A 21,764-nucleotide genomic window follows, 5' to 3' on the forward strand; every position below is an offset into this window, starting at 1 on the left:
TCGCTCACTGTAAGCTTCCCAGGACTGAAGCCCCAAAGAGGAGCCCTCTGCCTTCTCTGTCCTCCCCATGGGTCAGCGTGTCCTGCTTCTGAGTGGCCCGTCCTTCCTGCCTAACTGGCTGGCCTGCACCATGGCCCATATTCAACAACCTTAGTCATAGTTCCCACCATTGGCGTTTATGGAAGCTTGGAGCCTCATAAAGTTCAAAGTCTGCAACAATAATAAAGGCCCAGTCAACTTGGCTTGGGCGGCAGCTGCAGCCCAGCACTGGAAGCTCCTAGCTGTGGAGGGGCGTTGGGGCCTGGAGGGAGGAGAGCCTTGGTTTGCCCTGTGGGGCCCAGCCTTGAGTTCTGGCTTCTCAGGGCTCTGTTCTATCATGTTTCCTGTGAACTCCTTTTGTGCCTAAGACGCTGGGCAGTGCCACTCTTGCAGAGGTGCCACTCCAGGCCCTGCACGCTTAGGGGTAGAGCAACTACTACTGTTGGGCACAGGCGTGGGGCTGTAGAAAGAAATCCGTGTTTCACTGGAAAACTATGCATCCTACATAGGACACCAGCTTCCACATGGCCCGATACTAACCTACTAACCTTTCATCTTTTTTTTTTTTTTTTTGAGACGGAGTCTCCCTCTGTCGCCCAGGCTGGAGTGCAATGGCACCGTCTCGGCTCATTGCAGCCTCTGCCTCCCGGGTTCCAGCGATTCTCCAGTCTCAGCCTCTCAGGTAGCTGGGATTACAGGCATGCACCACCACGCCCGGCTAATTTTTGTATTTTAAGTAGAGACGGGGTTTCACCATGTTGGCCAGGGTAGTCTCGAACTCCTGACTTCAGGTGATCCGCCCGCCTCGGCCTCCCAAAGTGCTGGAATCGCAGACGTGAGTCACCGCGCCCGGTCTGAAAATTATCTTTTAATAGGGGTTAGCTGCATGAGTTAAAATCTCATTGCCACCATTTGCTGACTTTGTGCCCTCTGGGAGATTGCTTAATCTCTCTGGGATAAACCTCGGTTTGCTTGACAAAGGAAGCTGGTGAGGCTAAAGAGAGAACTCTAAGATTGGGGCGTTCCGAAGCCTTCTAGAGCCTTCTAGCACCCTGGACTCATAGCCAATGATGGGCAACAACAAGAACGACGACGAACCCTGGGCTCGGAACTCGCCCAGGCCCCGCCCCTCACAGCCCCGCCCCGTCCTCGGCCCCGCCCCCGGCCTGTCGCCTCAACAAAGTCCCCGCCGCGCGGCCGCTGGCCGGGAGTCAGCTCGGAGTCCCGTCCCAGCGCGGCGTCAGCGCTGCGCACTTCCCATTGGCCGAGCGCGGCGCGGGGGCGGGCCCGGGCCTGCGATTGCCTCTCGGCGTGCGCGGACAGTGTCATGGAGGCCGCGGCGGTGACGGTCACCCGGTCGGCTACACGGCGGCGGCGGCGGCAGCTGCAGGGGCTGGCGGCCCCGGAGGCGGGGACGCAGGAGGAGCAGGAGGATCAGGAGCCGCGGCCGCGGCGGCGGCGGCCGGGAAGGAGGTGGGGCTGCGGGGCCCGCGTGAACCCCGATCCGCGGGGCTGAGAGTCCGTGGCCCCGGGGCCCGAGGTTTCCCGGCACGGGCGCGCCGAGGGGCGGGGGGCCGGCGCCTGTGTCCGCTCCGTGCACAGTAAGGGACAGAGGGTGGCAGCGCCCCTCCGCCCCGGTCCGCCCCGCCGTCCTCGCGCCACTGCCGGGCAGCGGCCTCCGGCCCCCGTGCGTGACCCCTGCCTATCTCAGAAATACGGGTGCAAACCCGAGTGGCCGCGGGGCCCAGCGGGAATCCCGACGCCCCGGCCAGACCCCTGCTTCCCACGTCGCTGGTCTATGCGGAAGATCCCGGCGGCGGTGCTCATGCCTGGCTCAGTGGATGCCGGCTGGTGGAAGGGGTGGCCTTCTGTAGGGGTGACACTAGAACTGAGTCTTTGGGGAGGAGGAAGCCTTCAGTAGGTGGAGAATAGGGAGTAGGGTATCCAACTGGCGGGGAACAGAAAGGGCCAAAGCACAGAGACAGAAAGGGACGAACATGCCCCTCTGGGCTGGGCTTCCTTCCTTTGGGGGGCACTTGCCCACCCGGTAAACTCCCCCTCAGTAGGTTGCAGGGGGAGAAGTTAGGAGCACAGACATGGCTTCCGGAAACAGCAGCCGTAGCTTTGTTTCTAAACCCAAAGCAGTGAGACTGCTGAGCATTTCAGACCTCATGAAGATGGGATGAAGGCTGGCTGCTGGGAAAGATATTTTTGGACAGGAGGAATGTGGAGATGGCTCTTTCCCTCCTAGTGGAGGAATGACAGGTGACAAAGGTGACCTGGTGTGGGATTGTTCTGAGAAGGTCTGGGAGGGGGTGGCTGAAGTATAATAAGGACATCAACGAGGAAGGGGGCTTTGGAAAAGGAAGGTGGAGAGGAACAACTGCGGCATCTCTGCTTGAATCCGTCCCCGACCCCTGCAGTTCTCAGGGTCTCCCAATGTCATTCTGGAGGCCCTGGGTCAGTGTTTGGTGATGGCAGATGCTACAGAGGACTCTTTGCAACAGGCCTCTGAATGGCAGTGGAGTGATGGCAGATGACAACTCAGTGAACAAAGAAGTGGCCTTGGGCGTTGGTAGATTTAGGGAATCTCAACGTTGGTGCCATGGCCTCTAAATAGCCACTGCGGTGTCTTCTTACTGCTCCTAAAATAATAATGATTTTTTAGGCCAGGCATGGTGGCTTATGCCTGTAATCTCAGCACTTGGGAGGCTGAGGCGTGTGATCACCTGAGTTCGGGAGTTTGAGACCAGCCTGGCCAACATGGTGAAACTCAGTCTCTACTAAAAGTACAAAATTAGTCAGGCGTGGTGGCAGATGCCTGTAATCCCAGCTACTTGGGAGGCTGAGGCAGGAGACTCACTTGAACCCAGGAACTGGAGGTTGCAGTGAGCTGAGATTTCACCACCTTACTCCAGCCTGGGCGACAGAGCGAGACTCTGTCTCAATTAATCAATCAATTTTTAAAAGAAAGTGGTTTGAGATGTATTTAGGAGCTTTCCATGTTAATGTACCGAAGGAACGAAGGAACTCTTTCTCCCTGTAACATACATCCATGAACAGCGCGGAAGGCACTTAGGGAAGTGTGGCCTATAGAGGAAGCCTGGTCTCTGCTCTCTTAGGACCTGAAACTTTCTGGTGCTTTGGGTATTTGGATATTGCCCCTTGGCCATAGAAAATCCTGGGGACCCTGTGAAGTATTTATGTCTGGTCTTTGTGGTATTGGGGTGGCTGCTTTAGAGGGTAAGGTTTATTCTATTTATTTATTTTTTTGAGATGGAGTCTCGTTCTGTTGCCCAAGTTGGAGTGTAGTGGCACAGTCCCGGCTCACTGCAACCTTCGCCTCCCAGGTTCAAGTGATTCTCCCTGCCTCAGCCTCCCAAGGTGCTGGGATTACAGGCGTGTGCCACCATGCCCAGCTAATTTTTGTATTAGTAGAGATGGGGTTTTGCCATGTTGGCCAGGCTGGTCTTTAACTCCTGACCTCAGGTGATTCGCCTGCCTTGGCTTCCCAAAGTGTTGGGATTACAGGCGTGAACCACTGCGTCTGGCCTAGGGTAAGGTTTATTCTTAGGAGTAATCATTGGTACGTGTGTCCATGTGGAAGCCAAGCCCTGGTTGCTAATATAGGTAAAACCTTAGGATTATCACAGGGCACTTCCTTGCTTTATACAATGTTTCTATAGTTAATATTAAACAACATAAGGCAGAGAATATCTCTCTGTGTTTAGATGAAACTGGTCCATTTGCTTCTAAGTGTTCTTACCTATTTATGTTTTTATTTATAAATGTACAACTCCCTCTTTGCTTAGCATCAAAGATGAAGAAGAAGAGACAGTCTTTCGAGAGGTGGTCAGTTTTTCCCCGGACCCCCTGCCAGGTGAGGAGACAGAGGCTCTGAATACCGATCCACCTTCACACCTGGGGCTTTGGGGCAGGTCAGCCCCTGCCCCCTCTCATGTTCCTTCTCTGTTATTGTTAAAATGTTTCGATTAATCCTATAATAGTTTCCATTAATTGCTCAATGTTTCTGTCCTCGGACCAGTTAGATATTATGACAAGGACACCACCAAACCAATCAGCTTTTACTTGTCTTCGCTGGAGGAGCTCTTGGCGTGGAAGCCCCGCTTGGAGGATGGCTTTAATGTGGCCCTGGAGCCCCTGGCGTGTCGCCAGCCCCCTCTGAGCAGCCAGAGGCCCCGGACTTTGTTGTGTCATGACATGATGGGCGGGTACCTGGATGACAGGTGAGGACCTGGCCTTACATTGATGTTGCTTACATTGTTCTCCTTTGCTGGGGTGGGGGCTGGAGGGGCGGGAGAGAGTGCCATGTGTAGAAAGAGCACTGGGCGGGGAGTCAGGAGACGGGCATTGGAGGGATGGCACTAACTGCGAGAAGAAGGCAGGCCCCAGTGTTTCATCTGTAAAAAGGGAAGACTGGGCTGGGCTTGGTGGCTCACACCTATAATCCCAGCACTTTGGGAGGTCAAGGCAGGTGGGTCACCTGACCTCAGGAGTTTGAGACCAGCCTGGCCAACATGGCGAAACTCTGCCCCTACTAAAAATAGAAAAATTAGCCAGGCATGGTGGCAGGTGCCTGTAATCCCAGCTACTTAGGGGGCTAATGCAGGAGAATCGCTTGAACCAGGGAGGCAGAGATTGCAGTGAGCCAAGATTGCACTACTGCACTCCAGCCTGGGCAACAGAGTGAGACTCTGTCTCAAAAAAATAAAAAATAAAAAAAGGAAGGTTGGATTAGGCAGTGTCTTATGTCCCTTTCAGCTCTAGAATCATTTGACTCCTTGAACCTCCTCAACTTGAAGGCTGGTAGTAGATTGGAGGGAGCACAGCAGGCAGGGGGTCCTCTTCGGCTGCCTGTCCGCAGCCTCACCCCCTCACGTGGTTTGGTGTTCGTCACCTTCTTCCCTTAAGCTCTGATCCTGTTCTGGGTCGCTGGGCTCTGGCTTTCATGCACAGAGATGTTACATGCCCCACCCACCCCAGGTGCAGACGTCCCATCCAAAGTTGCCGTGGAGTCCGCGCGGCGCTTTTAAATGTCCATAAAACAATCTTGGACCCTGTGATTGATGGGAAGGCTTGAGTCAGAGCCAACCATCAAGGTAGAGATAGAAGCAGGTGGTGAAACCTTGGGCGCAGCTCACAGGGCTTTCAACCCCGACCTTCGAGTTCCGGGAGACTCTGTTCTGAGGGACTGCCTACCCCTCCAAATAGAGTGGGAAGCCAGAGACGGGACTTTGACACGAGACTTCCTGCTTCCCCTCCTTTCTCTCCCTTGTTCATTGGCTCACAGGGGGTAGCAGTGCTCGGTCCATTAGATGCAATGGCAGATGCCTGATGCCCCGGTCAGAGCACTCTGCCTGTGGCTACAGGAGTGGCAGCTGGTTCCTGCCTCTCTCCCTGCCTGCACCTTGCCTGGACACAGCAGGCTTCCAGGGAGTCTTGACTGAATGGAACTAAAGAGAAACCTTTGGGGACACCCTGCGGTCTCCGTGTCCTTATTCTGCTTCCTGGGACCTGACTCTGTTTCTTTTTTTCTGTATTTTGAGACAGGGTCTTACTCTGTCACCCAGGCTGGAGTACAGTGGTACAATCTGGGCTCTCTCCAGCCTTGACCTCCCAGGCTCAAGCAACTCTCCCACTTCAGCCTCCCAAGTAGCTGGGACTACAGGTGTGCACCACCACACCTGGCTAATTTTTCCAGTTTTTGTGGGGAGAGATGGGGTTTTGCCATGTTGCCCAGGCTGGTCTTAAACTCCTGGGCTCAAGTGATCCACCTGCCTTGGCCTGCCAAAGTGCTGGGAATAAAGGCATGAGCTGCCGTGGCCAGCCCTGTTCTGTTTCTTTCCCCAGGTTCATTCAGGGCTCGGTGGTGCAGACTCCCTATGCTTTCTACCACTGGCAGTGCATCGACGTCTTTGTGTACTTCAGCCACCACACCGTCACCATTCCCCCAGTGGGCTGGACCAACACTGCCCACAGGCATGGGGTCTGCGTGCTGGGTAAGAGCCAAGGACTCACCTCTGTGTCAGCCAGACTCCTCAGCTCACCAGCCAGGGGACCCCGTGATTAGGAGGCACGGGCTTTGCCTGCTTCTCAGTGCCCAGAGCCCCTCGCTGGGGGCCGCCTTGGTCGGCTAGGACAGGCAGCTGCAGGCTTTTTCTGGAAAGGACCAGATAGTATTTTCATGATTTCAGACCACTGGGTCACTGTGGTGATTATTGGAGTGATGGCAGGTACACAAATAGGCAGGGCCGTGTTCCAGTAAAATTGCATTTTACAAACACAGGTAGTAGTGGGCATCGGCCCAAGGGCCACGGTTTGCCGATTCCTGGGTCAGAACAATGCTTCTCAGCTTTAGCCTCAATCCCGATCGTTGATGGGCTTCCGTCACCAGGACTGCTGGTCTGCACTGGCAGAGTGTCTGATTCACGGGATATATGGGGATTTGAATGTCTACCAAGTGGTCAGGTGATACTGAAGCTGCTGGTTCGAGAACCTCGCTTTGAAAACTGTGGGTGGAGGGAAAGTGATTCCCGTGGCTGACCTTGTTTCTCTCCTATCCTCACAGGGACTTTCATCACGGAGTGGAATGAAGGGGGAAGGCTCTGTGAAGCCTTCCTGGCCGGGGATGAGCGCTCGTACCAGGCAGTGGCTGACCGGCTGGTCCAGATCACTCAGTTTTTTCGTTTTGATGGCTGGCTGATCAACATCGAGAACTCGCTGAGTGTGAGTGCCCAGCCCTCACCCACCTCCCCGCCCCTTGCTGTGTTGCCGCCCACCTCCACCTCTTTCCTGCCTTGGCCTCACCTCGCCCCACGCCTGGGCTGCAGGTTGCAGCAGTAAGAGCCACTTCTCGCCTCCCAGGCAGTGCCAACTCTGAAATCTTAGTTACACGCAGTGAGACAGAATCTCCTCCGACTGTTTCCAGCAAGCGTGCTTGGCCGGCTCCCACGTTTCCCGCCCCTGCCTGTGAGCACACCTTTCCTTTTCCGCGCTCTGCTCTGGGCTGGGTGTGTGGCTTCCTTCTCAGGGCATCCTCCCCTTTCGGTGCACTCTGTCTTTTCCTGACTTCTGTGTTCATGTCCTTCTTGCCGCAATAAGAAAGGACGGTCGTCTGTTTGGCTGGACTCCACTTGCGGGGCTGTGGCGGGGAGGGCCTTTCAGAACTGCAGCTTCGCCTGTGGGTCTGTTTGCTCTGCATCCCCCTGTCTGTCCAGCGCTGGATACTTCTCATGATAGATAGATCTGGGGCTCACTGAGGCTCTCACCTTGTTCTTCTCTTTCAGCTGGCCGCTGTGGGGAACATGCCTCCTTTCCTGCGGTACCTCACCACACAGCTGCACCGGCAGGTCCCAGGGGGCCTGGTGCTCTGGTATGACAGCGTGGTGCAAAGTGGGCAGCTCAAATGGCAAGACGAACTCAACCAGCACAACAGGTGAGCCTGCAGACAGGTGCTGTGAGGGGGCAGGTGCCGTGGTGGGGGCGGGTACTGTGAGGGGTGGGTGCCGCAAGGGGCGGGCGCAGTCTCCCTCATGGAGGTGATGCATATATGACTGCATTGGGTAAAAAGAGGGAGAAGGTGGGCCAGGCGCAGTGGCTCATGTCTGTAATCCCAGCACTTTGGGACGCCGAGGTGGGCAGATCAAGAGGTCAGGAAGTTGAGACCATCCTGGCTAACACGGTGAAACTCCGTCTCTACTGAAAATACAAAAAATTAGCTGGGCATGGTGGTGGGCACCTGTAGCCCCAGCTACTCGGGAGGCTGAGGCAGGAGAATGGCGTGAACCTGGGAGGCGGAGCTTGCAGTGAGCCAAGATCGTGCCACTGCACTCCAGCCTGAGCGACAGAGCGAGACTCTGTCTCAAAAAGGCAGAGTTCTCTTAACATCCTGAGCCTCAGCAGACACCATGGATGCTGGGCGAGGGTTTCAGGTCACCATCTGGGCTGCTCGCTGCCCCTGGGGAACAGGCCATATCCTAGGTCCTGGAGGCAGCTCCCAGCCTGTGAGTTGCAGGTGCCTCTGAGATCTAGGAGGGGAAAGGCTGAGATTGTGCAGGTGGAGGGGGTGGCCCTGTCCCTCTGGGCTCTAGGAGGGGAAAGGCTGAGGCTGTGTGGGGTGGGGTGGGGTGGGGTGGGGTGGGGTGGGGTGGGCCCATCCCTCTGAGTACTAGGAGGGGAAAGGCTGAGACTGCAGGGTTGGTGGGGGTGGCCCCATCCTTCTGGGCCTGGGCCTCACAGCAGGTCCTTGTTGCTTCTCAGGGTCTTCTTTGATTCCTGCGACGGCTTCTTCACTAACTATAACTGGCGGGAGGAGCACTTGGAGCGGATGCTGGGGCAGGCTGGGGAGCGCCGGGCTGATGTGTACGTGGGCGTGGATGTGTTTGCTCGAGGGAACGTGGTCGGAGGCCGATTCGACACAGACAAGGTGGGTGGTGGCTTTCGTCCAAGGGCCAGCGGCCCAGTGCCTCCCCTGGGACCTCATTTCCTCATGGACCTTCCATTCCCGTCTGCACCTCAAAGGAATGACAGCAGCTGTTCTTCCCAGAGTGGGGATCCCGTGGCACTGAGAAACAGGTGTCCTGCCCCGGCCAAGCTATGTCCCCACTGAAACCCCTTTCCCGGCTATTTCTACAATCAGATAATGTATTTTTGTGTGGGTGTTACCAGACAGAGGCGCGTCGTTCCCCCGCTGTCCGGTCCTCGGCGGGCCTGGGCCTCCTGTCCCAGCTGCGTTCCTTGATCTTCCCCGTGAGGGAAGCCTGCGGGGACGCACAGGGGCCTGCAGCGCCTCTCACTGCGGCTCAGGGGCGAGGACGGGGGAGGTGCCCAGGGTTTGGGGATCGGTAGGTGTCATGACGAGGGAGCATTTTCTGGCAAGGCAGGTCACACCAGCACAGAGGAAGGAGCGGGGCCAGGCCGGTGCCCCTGGCGTGGGATGCGCAGGGCTCTGCCTGCCTCTGGTCTATCAGTCCTGCCCGTTCCCAGAGCCCCAGGGATGTTCTCAGCCCTTAATTTAGCTTTAAATGAGTAAATTAATCCAATAACTAAAGAGCCTCTTTACTGCCCGTGATTCTGATAATCGAATGAGAGGTGTGCCAGAGGACAATGGGACCGCGCAGCCACAGCCAGTTGGGGCCCAGCCCCTGCCCCCCTGCCCTTGCAGCAGCGCTGACCGCCTCTCCCGCGCCCTCTTCTGGCGGGCTTGTGGAACGACGGGGGTGATGCCCAGCAGCCTCCAGGTGCATCTAGGAGGGAGGGGTTGGACAGCTTCCCCCTCCCGTTTCTGAGCTGCCCTGAGAGCCCCAACCCACGTCACTGGCGTCCAGGAGCCTGTCTGGACTCTGGTCCTGATGTGCCCAGCGTCTCCCTCTGTCTCTTCAGTCGTTGGAGCTGATCCGAAAGCATGGCTTCTCCGTGGCTTTGTTTGCCCCCGGCTGGGTGTATGAGTGTCTGGAGAAGAAGGATTTCTTCCAGAACCAGGACAAGTGAGTCCTGCTGTCCTGGGTGCTTAGTGCAGGCTGATGGGAGGGAGGGGTTTCTGGTGTCTCTGATAGGACACGTTTGTGCTCTTTAGTGACCCTTCCTATGGGGGGGTGGTTAAGGGAGGATGACAGGGGAGGAAGCCAGCACCCTGGCTGCTTCCGGGCAGGGACCAAACCCAGCGGCCGCTTCCTGCAGACTCGTGTTTGCAGCGTATCTGTAGACGGGGAGGCTGCAGTCCTCCTGGAAGTCCTGTCTTGGAGGGTGCAGGAGAGCCTCGAGTTTCCACCAGCAAGTTTGAGGGACACTGAGAGGCTCCCTCCCTTCCTCCGGACCGAGCTGTTGCCCCCATGTCTCTGGCAGGTTCTGGGGCCGACTGGAGCGTTATCTGCCCACACATAGCATCTGCTCCTTGCCTTTCGTCACGTCCTTCTGCCTGGGCATGGGTGCACGGAGGGTCTGCTATGGCCAGGTGGGTGGGTGTCTTCCCTCCGTGTCTGTCCTCTGGCCTCAGCTGGGACAGGTGGGAGGAGCCTGGGACTTGCCAGCAGGCACGGTGGTGGTCTTACCCTTCCCTGCCGCTCCGGGCACCCCTGCTCTGTTGGCCTCTGCTGAGTGCCCCTGTTCTGCCCTTTTCTTCAGGAAGAGGCGGTAGGGCCCTGGTACCACCTGAGCGCCCAGGAGATCCAGCCCTTGTTTGGAGAACACAGGCTGGGAGGGGATGGCCGGGGCTGGGTGAGGACGCACTGCTGCCTGGAGGATGCCTGGCACGGAGGCAGCTCCCTGCTCGTCCGGGGTGTGATCCCACCGGAGGTTGGAAATGTGGCTGTGAGGTGGGTGAGTGACGGAGGACGGTGGGCCCACCAGCTTCTCCCATCACACGTGGTGGCCATGGAACTGGACAGATGGGGCAGTGGAGGCCAGAACAAGGACAGAGGACAGACCCAGATGGGTTTTTTAAAATTGTGATCAAAAATGCATTAACGTGAAATTCACCATCTTGACCCTGTTGAAGTGAACGGTACAGGAGTGTTAACTCTGCGTACGTTGCTACGTGACAGATCCCTAGAACTGTGTCATCTTGTAGGACTGGACTCTCCCCATTGCACATTAGCCCCCCATCCTCCCCCAGCCCCCCAAAGCCACCCCTTTACTCTGCATCTGTGAGTTTGGATACTTTAGATGCCCCATATGAGGGAATCCCATACGGTATTTCAGAACTGAGATGTTTCAGCCCACAAAAGAATCTGGCCTTGGGGGAGGACTTGTCCCCTGGCTACGGACAGGACCACGATGTGGGAGCATTTGGCACCCAGGCCCCCTGTTCCTGGAGGGAGGGGCTGGTGGACGCGATTTGGAGCTGGCTTCGATTTCTCAGTGGTCTCTCCACGGCACCCATCACAGGACCTTTTTCCCCAGGTTATTTTCCCTGCAGGCCCCAGTGCCACCCAAGATTTACCTGTCCATGGTGTATAAGCTTGAGGGGCCCACGGACGTCACAGTTGCTTTGGAGCTGACCACAGGGGATGCCGGCAGCTGCCACATCGGTGGCATCTCAGTGTTGAACGGTGAGGTAATGGGGCCCAGGCCTGCCTCTGCCCAGGGCGGAGAGCTCAGGGAAGAGAAGTGTGGAGAGGCTCCTGGGGTGTGGGGAGGAGCTGGTGTGGACAGTGGGGGGGTACATCCTGCCTTTGCCGGAGTCAGGGCAGCTTGTGGTCAAGGCCTGGACAGGGAGGATTCACTTCTCAGCCACAGCCTCTGTCCTGTGTCCTCGTCGGGCAGCTGAGGCTCCTGTGCAGGGTGGACATGGGCCCCTCCCAGAGACCTGAGCTGCACAGCCTTGCTGCTGGCCGTGGCGTGGAGAGGGGCGAGCAAATGGGGTGGGGGAGACGGCAGGCTGGAGGGCGCCAGGACGAGTGAGGGCGCGGCTGACCCCAGACACGCATTTCCTTCACCGAGCTCCTCCGGAGTCCTTGCTGGTTGCTTCTTGGGACCCGCGAGCGTCTGGCCGAATCAGGCAGCCTTCTCTGGACTCCTGGGGCGCCCTTGGTGGTCCTTCTCAGTGCCTTTTCCTTTGAGATTCTCCTTTTTCAAGTTCCGTGTCTCCTTCTGCAGCAGAAACAAGCTCAAGACACAGCCTCCGACCCCTCCGGGTGCCCCCCACCAAGCTGGCCAGATGGGTGGGCCGCTGCGGCCGGCAGCTGAGTGGGGGCTGGGTCCAGCAGTAAGTCCCTCTGCTTCTTCACGTCCTTCTCCCTCACTCAAGTCTCTGTTGGGAAACCCCAGAGCTGGAGGGATGGAGGGGCCCTGGGCTGGCCCCCAGGTTTTGGGCAGCTCTGAGACAGAAGCCCAGGACAGCTGCTGGGAGCCCTGCTGTCGGCCTGGGGTCCCCCATGACCCTGGGATGCATCTCCCTTCTGCTGTGGCTTGGGGCCTCTGGACGGCTCACCCTGGAGCCTCTGGGCTGAGCCCGGCCAGTGATCAGCCCTTTCGCCCCGTAGCTGCTACGAGGTGAGCCTGCGTGGGTGCCTGCTGCTAGACCTCCTCGTTTGCTTCTCACGGCCGCCGGGTAGTCGGGAGGAGGAGAGCTTCACCTGTCGGCTTGGAGAGATCCAGGTGATGCTTCCCAGAGGGGCTCGGGCTGGGCTGGCTGTTTGTCCAGCTGGAGTGGGGGTGGAGGCCGCCCCAGGCCGCCCCCTTCTTGGGTTCAGCGGGGAACTGGGGTGGAGGAGTCAGGGAGGGGAAATGTGTGCGTGGGGGCACCCTCTCCCCGCCCCCGGGCGTCCAGCCGTGCTGAGCCTTCTCTCCTGCCAGGTGGTGGACGCTGCCAGCCTGCTGGCCCCTCTGCCCCAGGTGCAGGCCGTCACCATCTCTCACATCCGCTGGCAGCCATCCGCCTCTGAGCGGGAGGGGCCCCCTGCTCTGCTCCAGCTCAGCTGCACCCTGCACTGGTCCTTCCTCCTCTCACAAGTCCGTTGCTTCCGAATCCACTGCTGGGGAGGGATGAGTGATGACTCTCCGGGCAGGGAGCTGCCGAGGCCAGAGATGCCCATGTTCCTGGGGTTGGCTTTTGCCACCCAGTACCGGATAGTGGACCTGCTGGTGGAAGCCGCCGGGCCCGGCCAGGATCGTCGCATGGAATTTCTGGTGGAGCCTGTCCCCAAGGAAGGGTTCCGGGTACCTCAGGCCGAGTGGGGCAGGGCAGTTCTGCTTTATTCAGCCCCTGCATGAGCGGATGCTAAGGCCGGGTGGTCTCCTGGCCTCGGGCTGAGGCCTCTTCCCGGCTGTCTGCCCCTGGCCTGCGCTGGACCTGCTAAGTGCCCACAGTGGCAGCGAGGTCCCGGTCCCGGGGCTGGGGTGGGAGACCCCGGGCTGAGTGCTGTGGCTTTCTGGTGGGGGGCGATGGAAACAGGAAACCAAGCAGTGGGATCGCAGCGTTGGTCACTGCGAGGCGAGTGGCGGGCTTTCTGTTTCTGCCTTGTCCCTCCCCACGGTACCTGGTTCCCAGGTGAAAATGAAAGGAGGGGAGAAGTTGAGAACAGAACATTCCATAAAGGATATTTCCTAATAGGCTGCAAGATGCTGATGCCGAGAATGATGATTTTCTTTCCTGCAGATGAAACTATTAGAAAGGGTCTTAGATTGTGGCAGGTAGGCTTTGGAGCAGGCGCCGAGACATTTCTGAGCATGAGGACGAGCTACAGCAGCTCCTGGGGTGGGGCTGCCTGCGGGATGGCGGGAGAGGATGCCCTGGAGAACCGTCCTCCCAGTGTGGAAGGCCCTTTTCCCTGAGGAGTGGGCATTCTGGGCCAGCCGGCGCTGGCTTCGTGCCTCCACGTGGGCCAGCCCCAGCTGCTCCGTGTTTCCTGGCGTTGGCAATTTACTGTGCTGCTGAGTGTGAGGTCATCTCCGGAGCGTTTTCAGCAGCCCCTGGCTCTGCGGCGTCTCTTCCGGGCTGTGGGCATGCAGGGAAGTGGCTCTGAGGCAGTCTGCGCTGTGGCCCTGCCTCTGCCCAGCGAGAGGCCGTGGGCTCTGGACAAGCCGCCCTTCAGGCTGGGGTAGCAGGTCAGTCCAGGCAGGAAGCAGCACCTGCCCCCCGCGCCAGCCCAGCCCCAGCCTGAGTGCAGGAGCTGCAGGACCCGCGGGGGCTTTTCCAGCTACTCTGTTCCTTCACGTCCTCCCTTCTCAGCCTCGTCCAAGCACCGGGAAGACCTCCAGGCTGACCCCTTGAGCAGCAGTCAGCACAGGTGCGTGGGGGCGTGAGGGAGGCAGGGTCTTCACCACAGGCGCCTTCCTCTGTCCTTCCTGCTCTTTCTTCTCTGCCCAGGCCGCTGCAGCTGCACAGCCTCTGCTACACCTGGGCTGCCTGGGAGGCTTCCTGGTGTGGTGTCTGGACCCCACGGCCTTGGGTCATCCTGTGGCTGGTCTGGGGTGGGGTCTGTTGTGGTCCTTCCACGGTGTCAGTGGCCTGAAGTCCCTCGCTTTTGGGGGGGGGGTCTCTCACCCCCAGGCCACATAGGGCCAGTGGTAGGGGTTCCCTCTATGTCGGGCAGTGCTGAGGGCTGGGATGCTCTGTGACCCCAGCTGGAGCCCACACCTAAGGGCTGGCATCCACATCATTTCACCCTGCAGTGAGGGAAGAGGCCACCAGGTGGCAGCACAGCCACACCCGTTCCCACGTCAGAGGAGGGCAAGGCTGGGTACTCAGCAGCCACTCTGAGCCGGGGCTCCTTCCAGGAGCTGAAATCCACCTGTCTCCATCTTCCTTGCCTGCCTGGGTACTCATGCCAAGCAGAGACTGGGATTAGGGGTTCTGTGCTCTTGCCTAATTAGGAACATTCTCCCATGTCTCTTGTGTGGTCCCAGAAGGAGAAGTGAGTTTGCCAAGGATATGGGGCAGGAGGCTCCCTCTGCTGACCCCCTGCAGCCTGGAGCCAGCCCGGGGACTGTCCTGGGTGGAGGGCAGGTGAACACAAGCTGCTGCCGGGGACTGTCCTGGGTGGACGGCAGGTGAACACAAGCGGCTGCCGCATGTAGCCACTCACTCGACTTTTTTTCAGCTGTGACCATTCCCGGGAGCTCTTTGAGCCTTTCTGTCTCATTTGGAACCAGGGGGAACCAGGAAGGGGCTCCTGGCCTCTCTGTGTCCTCTGCAGTGGGGGTTGTGGGGGGCGCAGCATCCACGCCTTGCTGCCCTTCTTTCATGAAGTCTGTTTTTTAAGTGCTGGTTCCCCCGAATATTTTATGCAGAGGAGGGAAAATTTATAGTGGCAATTATTTTCTCACAGTCTGGTGAGCAGGCAATTAATTAGGAGTAAGGGGGCCTAGTAGAGCGTGGCGTGTGGCAGAATCGCACCGCCCCGGCTCCCCAGCCCACCGCCATGCAGGGCTCGCGTGCGGGAAAACTAATATGCCGGCGTTTAAGCCTGTGCCCCTCTGCTGGGTGTAACTGCGCTGAAATAAATGATCTGACAATGTGAAGCGTGCAGTCGAGTCCTGGTGTGATGGGGCGCGGGCAGCACCAGCCCGGCCCTGGATGCTGGCTCCCTGTCCAGCCCTGGCCCCAGCCCCAGGCTTCTGAGCTCTGGGTTCAGGTTCTGCCACTCGTCTTCCCATCTCCCCGCTCAGCTGAGCCTTTGCAGCTGTGCTCTAGCTCCTACCCACCTTCCAGGAGGGGTGACTGGGGCTGGCGAAGTGGGTTTACCTTGAAGCAACATGGCTCCTTGTGGGCCCCAACAACTCAGGCTACACCAGGCGTGCAGAACTGGCTGGAGCACCAGCCATCTATGCCTCTGTGCCATGTCCCCCCACCCTCCCAGCTCCGTGCTCTTTGTTGCACTGGGTCGACCAAGCACAGCTGTGTGGTCACCAGTTCTAACCTTTCTGCTTCCTGGGGTGCATTCTGCTCTGAGGTCACGCTGTGTCCAGCACATGCTGTAACCAGGAAAGAAGGGACCAGGGCTGGCCTCGACCTGAGTCCGAGAGGCAGGCCAGGCAGCACAGATATGCCATGAGCTGCCACCCACCCAGCCTATCCTGGGGTGGGATGCAGACGACCAGCCTGGACTTGAGGATTGGGACTGGAAAGTCTAGGGCCTTCTGACACCATTGCCACCTGGCTGTAGGCCAAGGCAGGGCTGCATCCCGTCCTGGCCCCCGTCCTGCACCCTGGGCCGCTATGCCCTCCACCCACCATGCCCGGGAGCTGCCAGAGCATACAGAGTTGTCCTGGTTTGAAGAAAGAAATCTTTATTAATAATCTTAATAATACTGTTAGTTTGAATGGTCACACCTTGGAAGCATACAGAATGGTAAGAAAGGAAGCCCGGGGCTCGGCTGCAGTCCTGGGGATCTGAGTGAGTCGGGGGGTTGAGCTGCTGCAAGAAAAGGGTCCGGAACAGCAGAGGGGACAGGGGGCTCTGTACAGAGGACAAAGCCGGAGGCAGGGCGTGGGGCTATGTACAACGGGAATAGAAAAGGAGAATTCCATTTCAATAGCTGATGCTGAATAGAAAGTGAGGTGTATTTTTAAATTTTTGACACTTCATGAGACAGTGGAGCCACGTTGGGAGCCTGTATTTTTTGCTGCTTCCCTACTTCAGTGCTCCCTGCCTCGCCAGGGGTTCCTCCCTGCCACCTGCTCTGCTCCTGCTCCTCCCACCGGGTAAGCCTGGCTGTCCTTGGTGCTGCTCCCGCCACCTGGACACCTGCCTTGGGAGCAGGGAAGGGGCCGGCCCAGGCTTCCCCATCCCTTGCCCTTCCCATGGGCCCCTGCTCTGGCTGTGCCCGTCCAGGCCCACAGCCACTGTGACTCCCAACCTCGCGATGCAGCCGGGCGCTGGCCCGTCCCTGGCCCTGGGCGCCCACGGTGGACTGGGCTCACAGGGGAGCGGCAGGGAGGGCTGGGTCCCAGCAGGCAGCACGAGGTCAGCCTTGGTGTACACAGGCCCCGGGCCTCCTCCAGAAAGGGAGAGATGGCCAGGAAGAGCAAGTAAGTCCTTGGCCTCAGGGCCCACTTGGCCACACTTGGAGGTGTGAGGAGTGGCTCCTGGCTGGCTGGGCTTCCTTCGTCCTCCCATGGAGCGCCCCTGAGTCCTGGAGCCACGTCAGCCCTTTCTGTTGGGAGCTGGCCCCGGGGCTACTGTTGGACGGCTTCCTCGCCAGGCTGGGGGCACGGGCGGGACTGCCGGGCAGGAGGGAGGTGGGACGCAGGGGACGCGACAGGAGGGTGACGGGGCCCAGTGGAGCCCCTGGGATGAAAGCTGCCCGCACCCCTCAGCCCCGCCGGCCCCCTGGCACAGCTGGCCACAAAGATCAAGTCTTGCTAGCAGCGCCTGCCTGCTCAGGCCCGGGCCTGCTCCGCCGCCGCTGGGCTCCACACTGTCTGTCTTGGGAGTTGGGGGCTGGGAAAGGAAGACTGGATGGAAAACAGAGCCCCCCACGGGTCCCACAAGGGAGGCCCCTTCCCCTCCAACTCCCCCACTGCCTGAGACGGAGGGGCGTGTTCCCACTGTGCTGCCAGCCAGGACGCGGTGGGGCCGTCCTGTCCTGGGGCCGCTCCTCGGCGCCCCTGCCGGCGTGCTCCCTCGGTGCGGGCGTGTGGCCAGGACGCGGGACTTGGACTTGGTTGGATGCCTCTTGGTTTGGTTGGTTTTTTTTTTGTTGCTTGGATCTTAACATCTTTTTTTGTTTTTTTTGTTTTGTGATTTTTTTTGTTTTTTTGTTTTTGCCCTTCATGGTCCGAGAAGGAAACGGTGGAAGGTTTCACTACAACAGAAACAGAAAGGCAGGACTTGCAGCTTCTCGGGGGAGGCACAGCAGGTGTGAAGGCGACAGGACCACGTGGCACGGGGCCCCTGGCCTAAAGTCCTGGCGCCGCCACACCTGCCCCCCAGGTTTCCAGGACCCTCATCTTCCAGGGCTGAGTGTGGGTGGATCCCAGGATGGGGCCCAGGCAGCCCAGGATGGGAGGAGACACCTGGGGCCCTGAGGAGGAGACAGAGCTGAGCAGGGCAGGGTGAGTGGAGAGGCTGGGCCAGCACAGGCTTCGAGGCGGCCTGGATGAGATGGCAGAGGGTGATGGTCTGGCCACGGGAGGTGGGGGAGCCGGGCCCCCCACGGCAAGGGCCTGGTGGGCGGCAGGACTTCAGCCCTCACTGGTGGGGAACCCACACCCTCCAGCTGGCCTTCCAGCCCCAGGAGCCCAGCCGTGGCACACTCAGAACCTGAGGCTACTTTTCCCTGTCATGGAGGTACAGATCTGTGTGCCCCAGGCCAGTGCCAGGAAAGGACTGTGCCTGTCTTGGCTGGCTTTTCCTAGGCAGGCCAGCAAGCTGCCCACGGCTGTGCTCAAGTGAGGTCCCAGCCAGTGTCTCCCCAGAAGCGCCATGCACCGGGCTGGCCAGTCCCAGGGCTGAGGAAGGAGTGGCCCGCAGGCCACAGGGCCCTGCCTGCAGTCTCCCTAATGCAGGGAGGGGACTGACCTGGGGCTGACCGGCCTGCGCTCAGGGGAGGGCCTGAGCAAGGGTGCATTCTGCCCCTCATCAGCTCTCCTGCCTGCTGAGGACCCCTCCTTCCGGAATATACCCCAATAAAGACATTTCGAAGCTTGGGGACAGGGAAAGTAGGCTGTGCCTCCAGGACAACCCCCTTGCAAGGCTGGCCTGGCCTTGGCCCTGCGGTGCTAAGGGGCTCCCTGAGGAGCGACCAGGACGTGCCTTTCCACATTTCCACTTTCTGCTGCAGCAGTGCTAAGGAGTCGCAGAGACTGGCGTGACCACAGCAGTTTGCACACCACGCGACACGCTTGTGACTACGTCGGCAAGAAATATCGTCAATAAAATTTAATGAAAAATATTAGTTTCAGCTGAATGGGGCGAGGAGGGGCAGTGGCTACTCCTGTGGTTGGCTGGGTGAAGGCCTGCGGGAGCACCCTCAGGCCGGGGAGACCCACACTGGGTGCCTGGAGCCCCTCCCTCCCTGCGTCAGGGTGCTGGACACTAGGGCCATGGCACGGGGCTGGTCGGGTGGCTTTGGGGGAGGCCCTGCCAGGCGTTTCTGTTGTTCTGTGCAGCCTGGGAGGCCAGGAAATGTGGCTCTTGCCCTCATAGGGCGCTACCGCTACTCCCAGGTTGGGGGCTGCCTGGTCTCCTGGCCCAGCCTGGACCCCACGGTGTGCACACCGTACCTGCAATGGCTTGGGTAGTACAACATCAACAAAGTCAAAATAGGAAATCACGGTTGCAGACATACAGGAAAAACCAGGGTCAAAGACACACACACCAGCACAGGTGGGGTGGGGAGACCAACTGGCTGGAGAGAAATAATCTATAGATTTTAGAGTTGCAGGGGGCCAGCCGTGCGTGTCGCTGACCGGGAGGGGTGCACTGTCTTCTGGTGGCTGTGCCTGGTTTTGGGCTGTTGGGTTTGGTGTGTAATAGGCAGTCAGTGTGAATGCTGTTAGGGGCTGGGTCTCTTGCTAGTAGGGGGTGAAGCGGCTGTACCCTCCTCGGCAGAGGCTAGCCTGCAACATCAAAGATGAAAAACAGCCAATCAGTACCGTCTTTTGGAAGAGGGGAAAAAGCAAAAAGAAAAAAAAAAAGGAAAAACAAAAAGAGAAATAGCCAAGTCTCGATTTCTTTCCCCCTATATTCCTTGGGGAGAAAGGAGTTGGGTTGTCATGGCAACAGGAAGAGTAGGACCTGCCTCTGACATAGTGGTCTTGGGCCAGTGTGGGGTGCTCTGGGGTCATGGCCAACAGTGCTTCTAGGTCACAGCTTGAGTTATGTCTGGGTCACTTCTCTGGGCTCAGGCCTGGCCTCTCACTGTCCTTATGCAGAGGGGGGGTCCCAGCTTGAGCCCCACCTCCTCGCACCCCAGCAGGGTGGCACGGGGCATCTTCAGAGCACTGAGGGACCTCCTGGCGGGTTCCTGGGCCTTGGCTCAAGAGCCTGGGGCCACTGAAGCCAGCTACGCTGGGAGAGGCAAGCCTGCTGGGCATAGTGTTCAGAGCCTTGCTCTCTGGGGGGGTCTCTGGGTCCTCCTGGGCCCACCTGAGGCCCAGCCCTGTCCTACTGGGGAGAGCGGGTCCTGGATGCTCCAGCTCTCCCATGTCCTGGGCTGCCTCCAGTCAGGGAAGGCTCTGAAGGGGCCTCCCACCCTCCCACCACCCAGTTTTCCCAGAAAAGAACAACACAGCAAGTGCAAGAGAAGAAAAATTGGGGAAAAATAGAAAATCTTAAAAATACAAAGTGAAAACACAAGAGGGAACCCTCCGTGCGTTAATGAAAGCTTTTAGCTTGCAGCTGCACGGAGGGCCCAAGAGCCAGGGTATCACACCTCCATCCGGGTGGGGCCGCACCAGACCCGCGCCTGTGGCTGCCCACAGCCACCACAGGCTGCTGGGGGTGTCTGAGGCTCGTTAAAAATTGAAAAAAAAAAAAAAAATTGGAGGGAGTCATCAAAACCAAGAAAGATGGGAAAAATCCATATTGCCTCTGAACCTCCTCCCTCCTCACTCTCCCAAGATGTTTTCATCTTTGATGCTGGATGCCAAGCTAGCTAAAACCCGTGTTCACACCCCGGGGCTGGGGCCAGTGGGTACAGGAGGCAGGTGTCTGCTGGAAGCAGCTCTGGGTGCAGAGTGAGCTGGGCTGCACGTGTCAACAGCTGGCCACACACACACACACACACACACACACACACACACAGAGACACGCCACGCCGCGCACCTCCCCGCCCCGCCCCTTCCACCCCACAGCCTGAGGGAGGAGGCTGGGGCAGAGCAGGCACTGTTTCCCCAGGACGCCAGGAGCCCCCAGGAAGCCAGGAGCTAGAGCCTGGTGAGAAGCAACCGGTAACCCACACTCCCCTCTCGGATGCGATGCGAGGGGGCTGCAGCAGTGCGGGTGGGCCGTGGGTATGCGGTGTGGGCAGAAACAGCCCCGGGGCCTTGGGAGCCTCTGCTGGGAAGGAGAGGCGGCCCTGGTTTGGTTTCTGAGGTTTTCCTGGTGGAAATGGGAATGGAGGGGCCTCAACGGGACTTTATTATAGTGAGGGAGCTCAGGGAAACGGATCAGGCACATTGGGGTGCTTTCCAGAGGACCAGATGGTACGGTGGGCTGACCAGCCATTCAACCTGCTTCCCCGCAACTGAGAGGGCGTGAGGGGCCAGCCCTCCCCTCACCCTAACTCACATCCAGGCCGTGGTCCTTCCAAAGTCTCCGGGACCAAGGCATTGGTCAGAGGGCTCGGCCTCTCCCCCAAGGGCCTCACCACCCATGCCCAGCTGTTAGGACTGGCACCCAGGGCTGGGCGGGCCTGGGCTCCTTACCATGGTTCCAATGCTGTAGGTCGCCGCGGGCCCGATGGTGTGATGGTACGGGTCGGCAGCTGCGTAGACTCTGCCGTAACTAGGGAAGAGCGTGGGAGGGGGAGTGGGAGGAGGGTGGGGGAGGGGGGCAGGTGAGGGGCAGCAACGGCCTCCCACCTCCTCCCAGACACTACATGGGCACCCTGTACCGAGGTCCCATCTGCAAGGCACCCTCCCCTCCTGCAAGGCCTGCAAGGCCTACCCCTCCTTCTTGTTAAGAAGGAAGCTTCTGGAACACAACAGGCAACCCTCTCAATATGCCCACAGTGTGCTGACCCTGACGGGGTGGGGGGAGGGGGTGTGTTCCACTCAGTGCTACGTGGAGGGGGATGGTGTCCTCATGGAGCTCGTCTGCAGGGAAAACAAACTTCCACCCCAAAAAGAATGTGGTAAATACTGGGGAGGGTTTCAAGAGAAGAGAGAGGGTCAACGAGGAGGGACCAGGAACACTGCCCCCAAGAATGTGACACTTGTGTCCCTCACGACTTTCCCTTCAGCAGTTTGTCTGTGCAGGGAACTCTCAGCTCCTTAGAGAGCAGAGCTGGGCCACGGCACCCTGTACACCACACTTCAGGGAGATGGAGCCGGGGCTGCCAGGAGGGAGGGGGTACAAGCGGTCCCCAGACCAGAGTGGTGGAGCTCAGCTACCAACAGGCCAGATGTCTGAGGGGAAAGGCACTAGGCTAGGTTGCTCCAGGAGGAAGCACTCAAGCGTCTGCCTCCAAGACAGACAGCCACTGTGGGCACGGGGCTTGCGGGGGGCGGTGGGGGGACTGGGAATCAGAGATGCGGTCTCCACCTGGGGTTTCCACAGCCTCCCCATGGGGTAAGCAGGAAGTGACTGAAGTCAGGG

General features: G+C 59.0%; 2 protein-coding genes across 80 annotated transcripts in view, besides 1 other annotated feature; one reads left to right on the forward strand and one right to left on the reverse strand.

Annotated features, from left to right (window-relative positions):
* Window positions 1,108–1,647: a silencer, noted in NCBI's record as "silent region_9079". NCBI's record gives its function as "represses an Ori minimal core promoter by ATAC-STARR-seq in GM12878 lymphoblastoid cells {active_cell/tissue: GM12878}" and the evidence as "EXISTENCE:reporter gene assay evidence [ECO:0000049][PMID:35858748]".
* Window positions 1,246–15,021, forward strand: ENGASE (endo-beta-N-acetylglucosaminidase). Of its 22 annotated transcripts, none has more exons than XR_934535.2 (16): window positions 1,246–1,512; window positions 3,852–3,919; window positions 4,085–4,286; window positions 5,911–6,059; window positions 6,629–6,786; window positions 7,347–7,495; window positions 8,320–8,485; window positions 9,442–9,545; window positions 9,904–10,012; window positions 10,183–10,373; window positions 10,960–11,108; window positions 11,656–11,764; window positions 12,042–12,156; window positions 12,355–13,605; window positions 13,730–13,787; window positions 13,868–15,021. XR_934535.2 is itself a non-coding variant. In NM_001396054.1 (15 exons), the coding sequence occupies exons 1-15, from the start codon at window positions 1,367–1,369 to the stop codon at window positions 12,769–12,771; spliced, it is 2,421 nt and encodes an 806-aa protein (NP_001382983.1). In that variant the 5' UTR covers window positions 1,246–1,366; the 3' UTR covers window positions 12,772–15,021. The 22 variants fall into 22 exon arrangements, 10 of the variants coding, with proteins under 10 accessions (NP_001382983.1, NP_001036038.1, NP_001382984.1 ...); XR_934536.2 differs by having other exon boundaries at window positions 14,173–15,021; XR_007065430.1 differs by having other exon boundaries at window positions 12,042–13,605.
* Window positions 15,767–21,764, reverse strand: part of RBFOX3 (RNA binding fox-1 homolog 3) — a 576,227-nt gene continuing 570,229 nt past the window's right edge. For 44 of the 58 annotated variants that reach the window (NM_001385807.1, NM_001385838.1, NM_001385842.1 and 41 more), the window contains 2 exons: window positions 20,873–20,951; window positions 15,767–17,307 (listed from right to left, as the gene is read on the reverse strand). In NM_001385807.1, coding sequence (NP_001372736.1) covers window positions 17,305–17,307; window positions 20,873–20,951 — 82 coding nt within the window. In that variant the 3' untranslated portion in view covers window positions 15,767–17,304. Of the gene's footprint in view, window positions 17,308–18,368; window positions 19,064–20,872; window positions 20,952–21,764 lie in introns of those variants that run through there. The other 14 variants (XM_024450593.2, NM_001385805.1, XM_024450592.2 and 11 more) reach the window with 1 other exon arrangement.

Source organism: Homo sapiens, chromosome 17 (genome assembly GCF_000001405.40).
Source record: "Homo sapiens chromosome 17, GRCh38.p14 Primary Assembly".
In the NCBI taxonomy this organism is placed as follows: Eukaryota; Metazoa; Chordata; class Mammalia; order Primates; family Hominidae; genus Homo; species Homo sapiens.

Excerpts from the sequence above, each read along its gene's own strand:
- ENGASE (NM_001396052.1), top strand. The coding sequence starts at position 1,367 with ATGGAGGCCGCGGCGGTGACGGTCACCCGGTCGGCTACACGGCGGCGG. Across the intron at positions 10,013-10,182 it reads GGAGGGTCTGCTATGGCCAG|GAAGAGGCGGTAGGGCCCTG; the intron begins GTGGGTGGGTGT and ends CCTTTTCTTCAG. Across the intron at positions 10,374-10,959 it reads GTTGGAAATGTGGCTGTGAG|GTTATTTTCCCTGCAGGCCC; the intron begins GTGGGTGAGTGA and ends CTTTTTCCCCAG.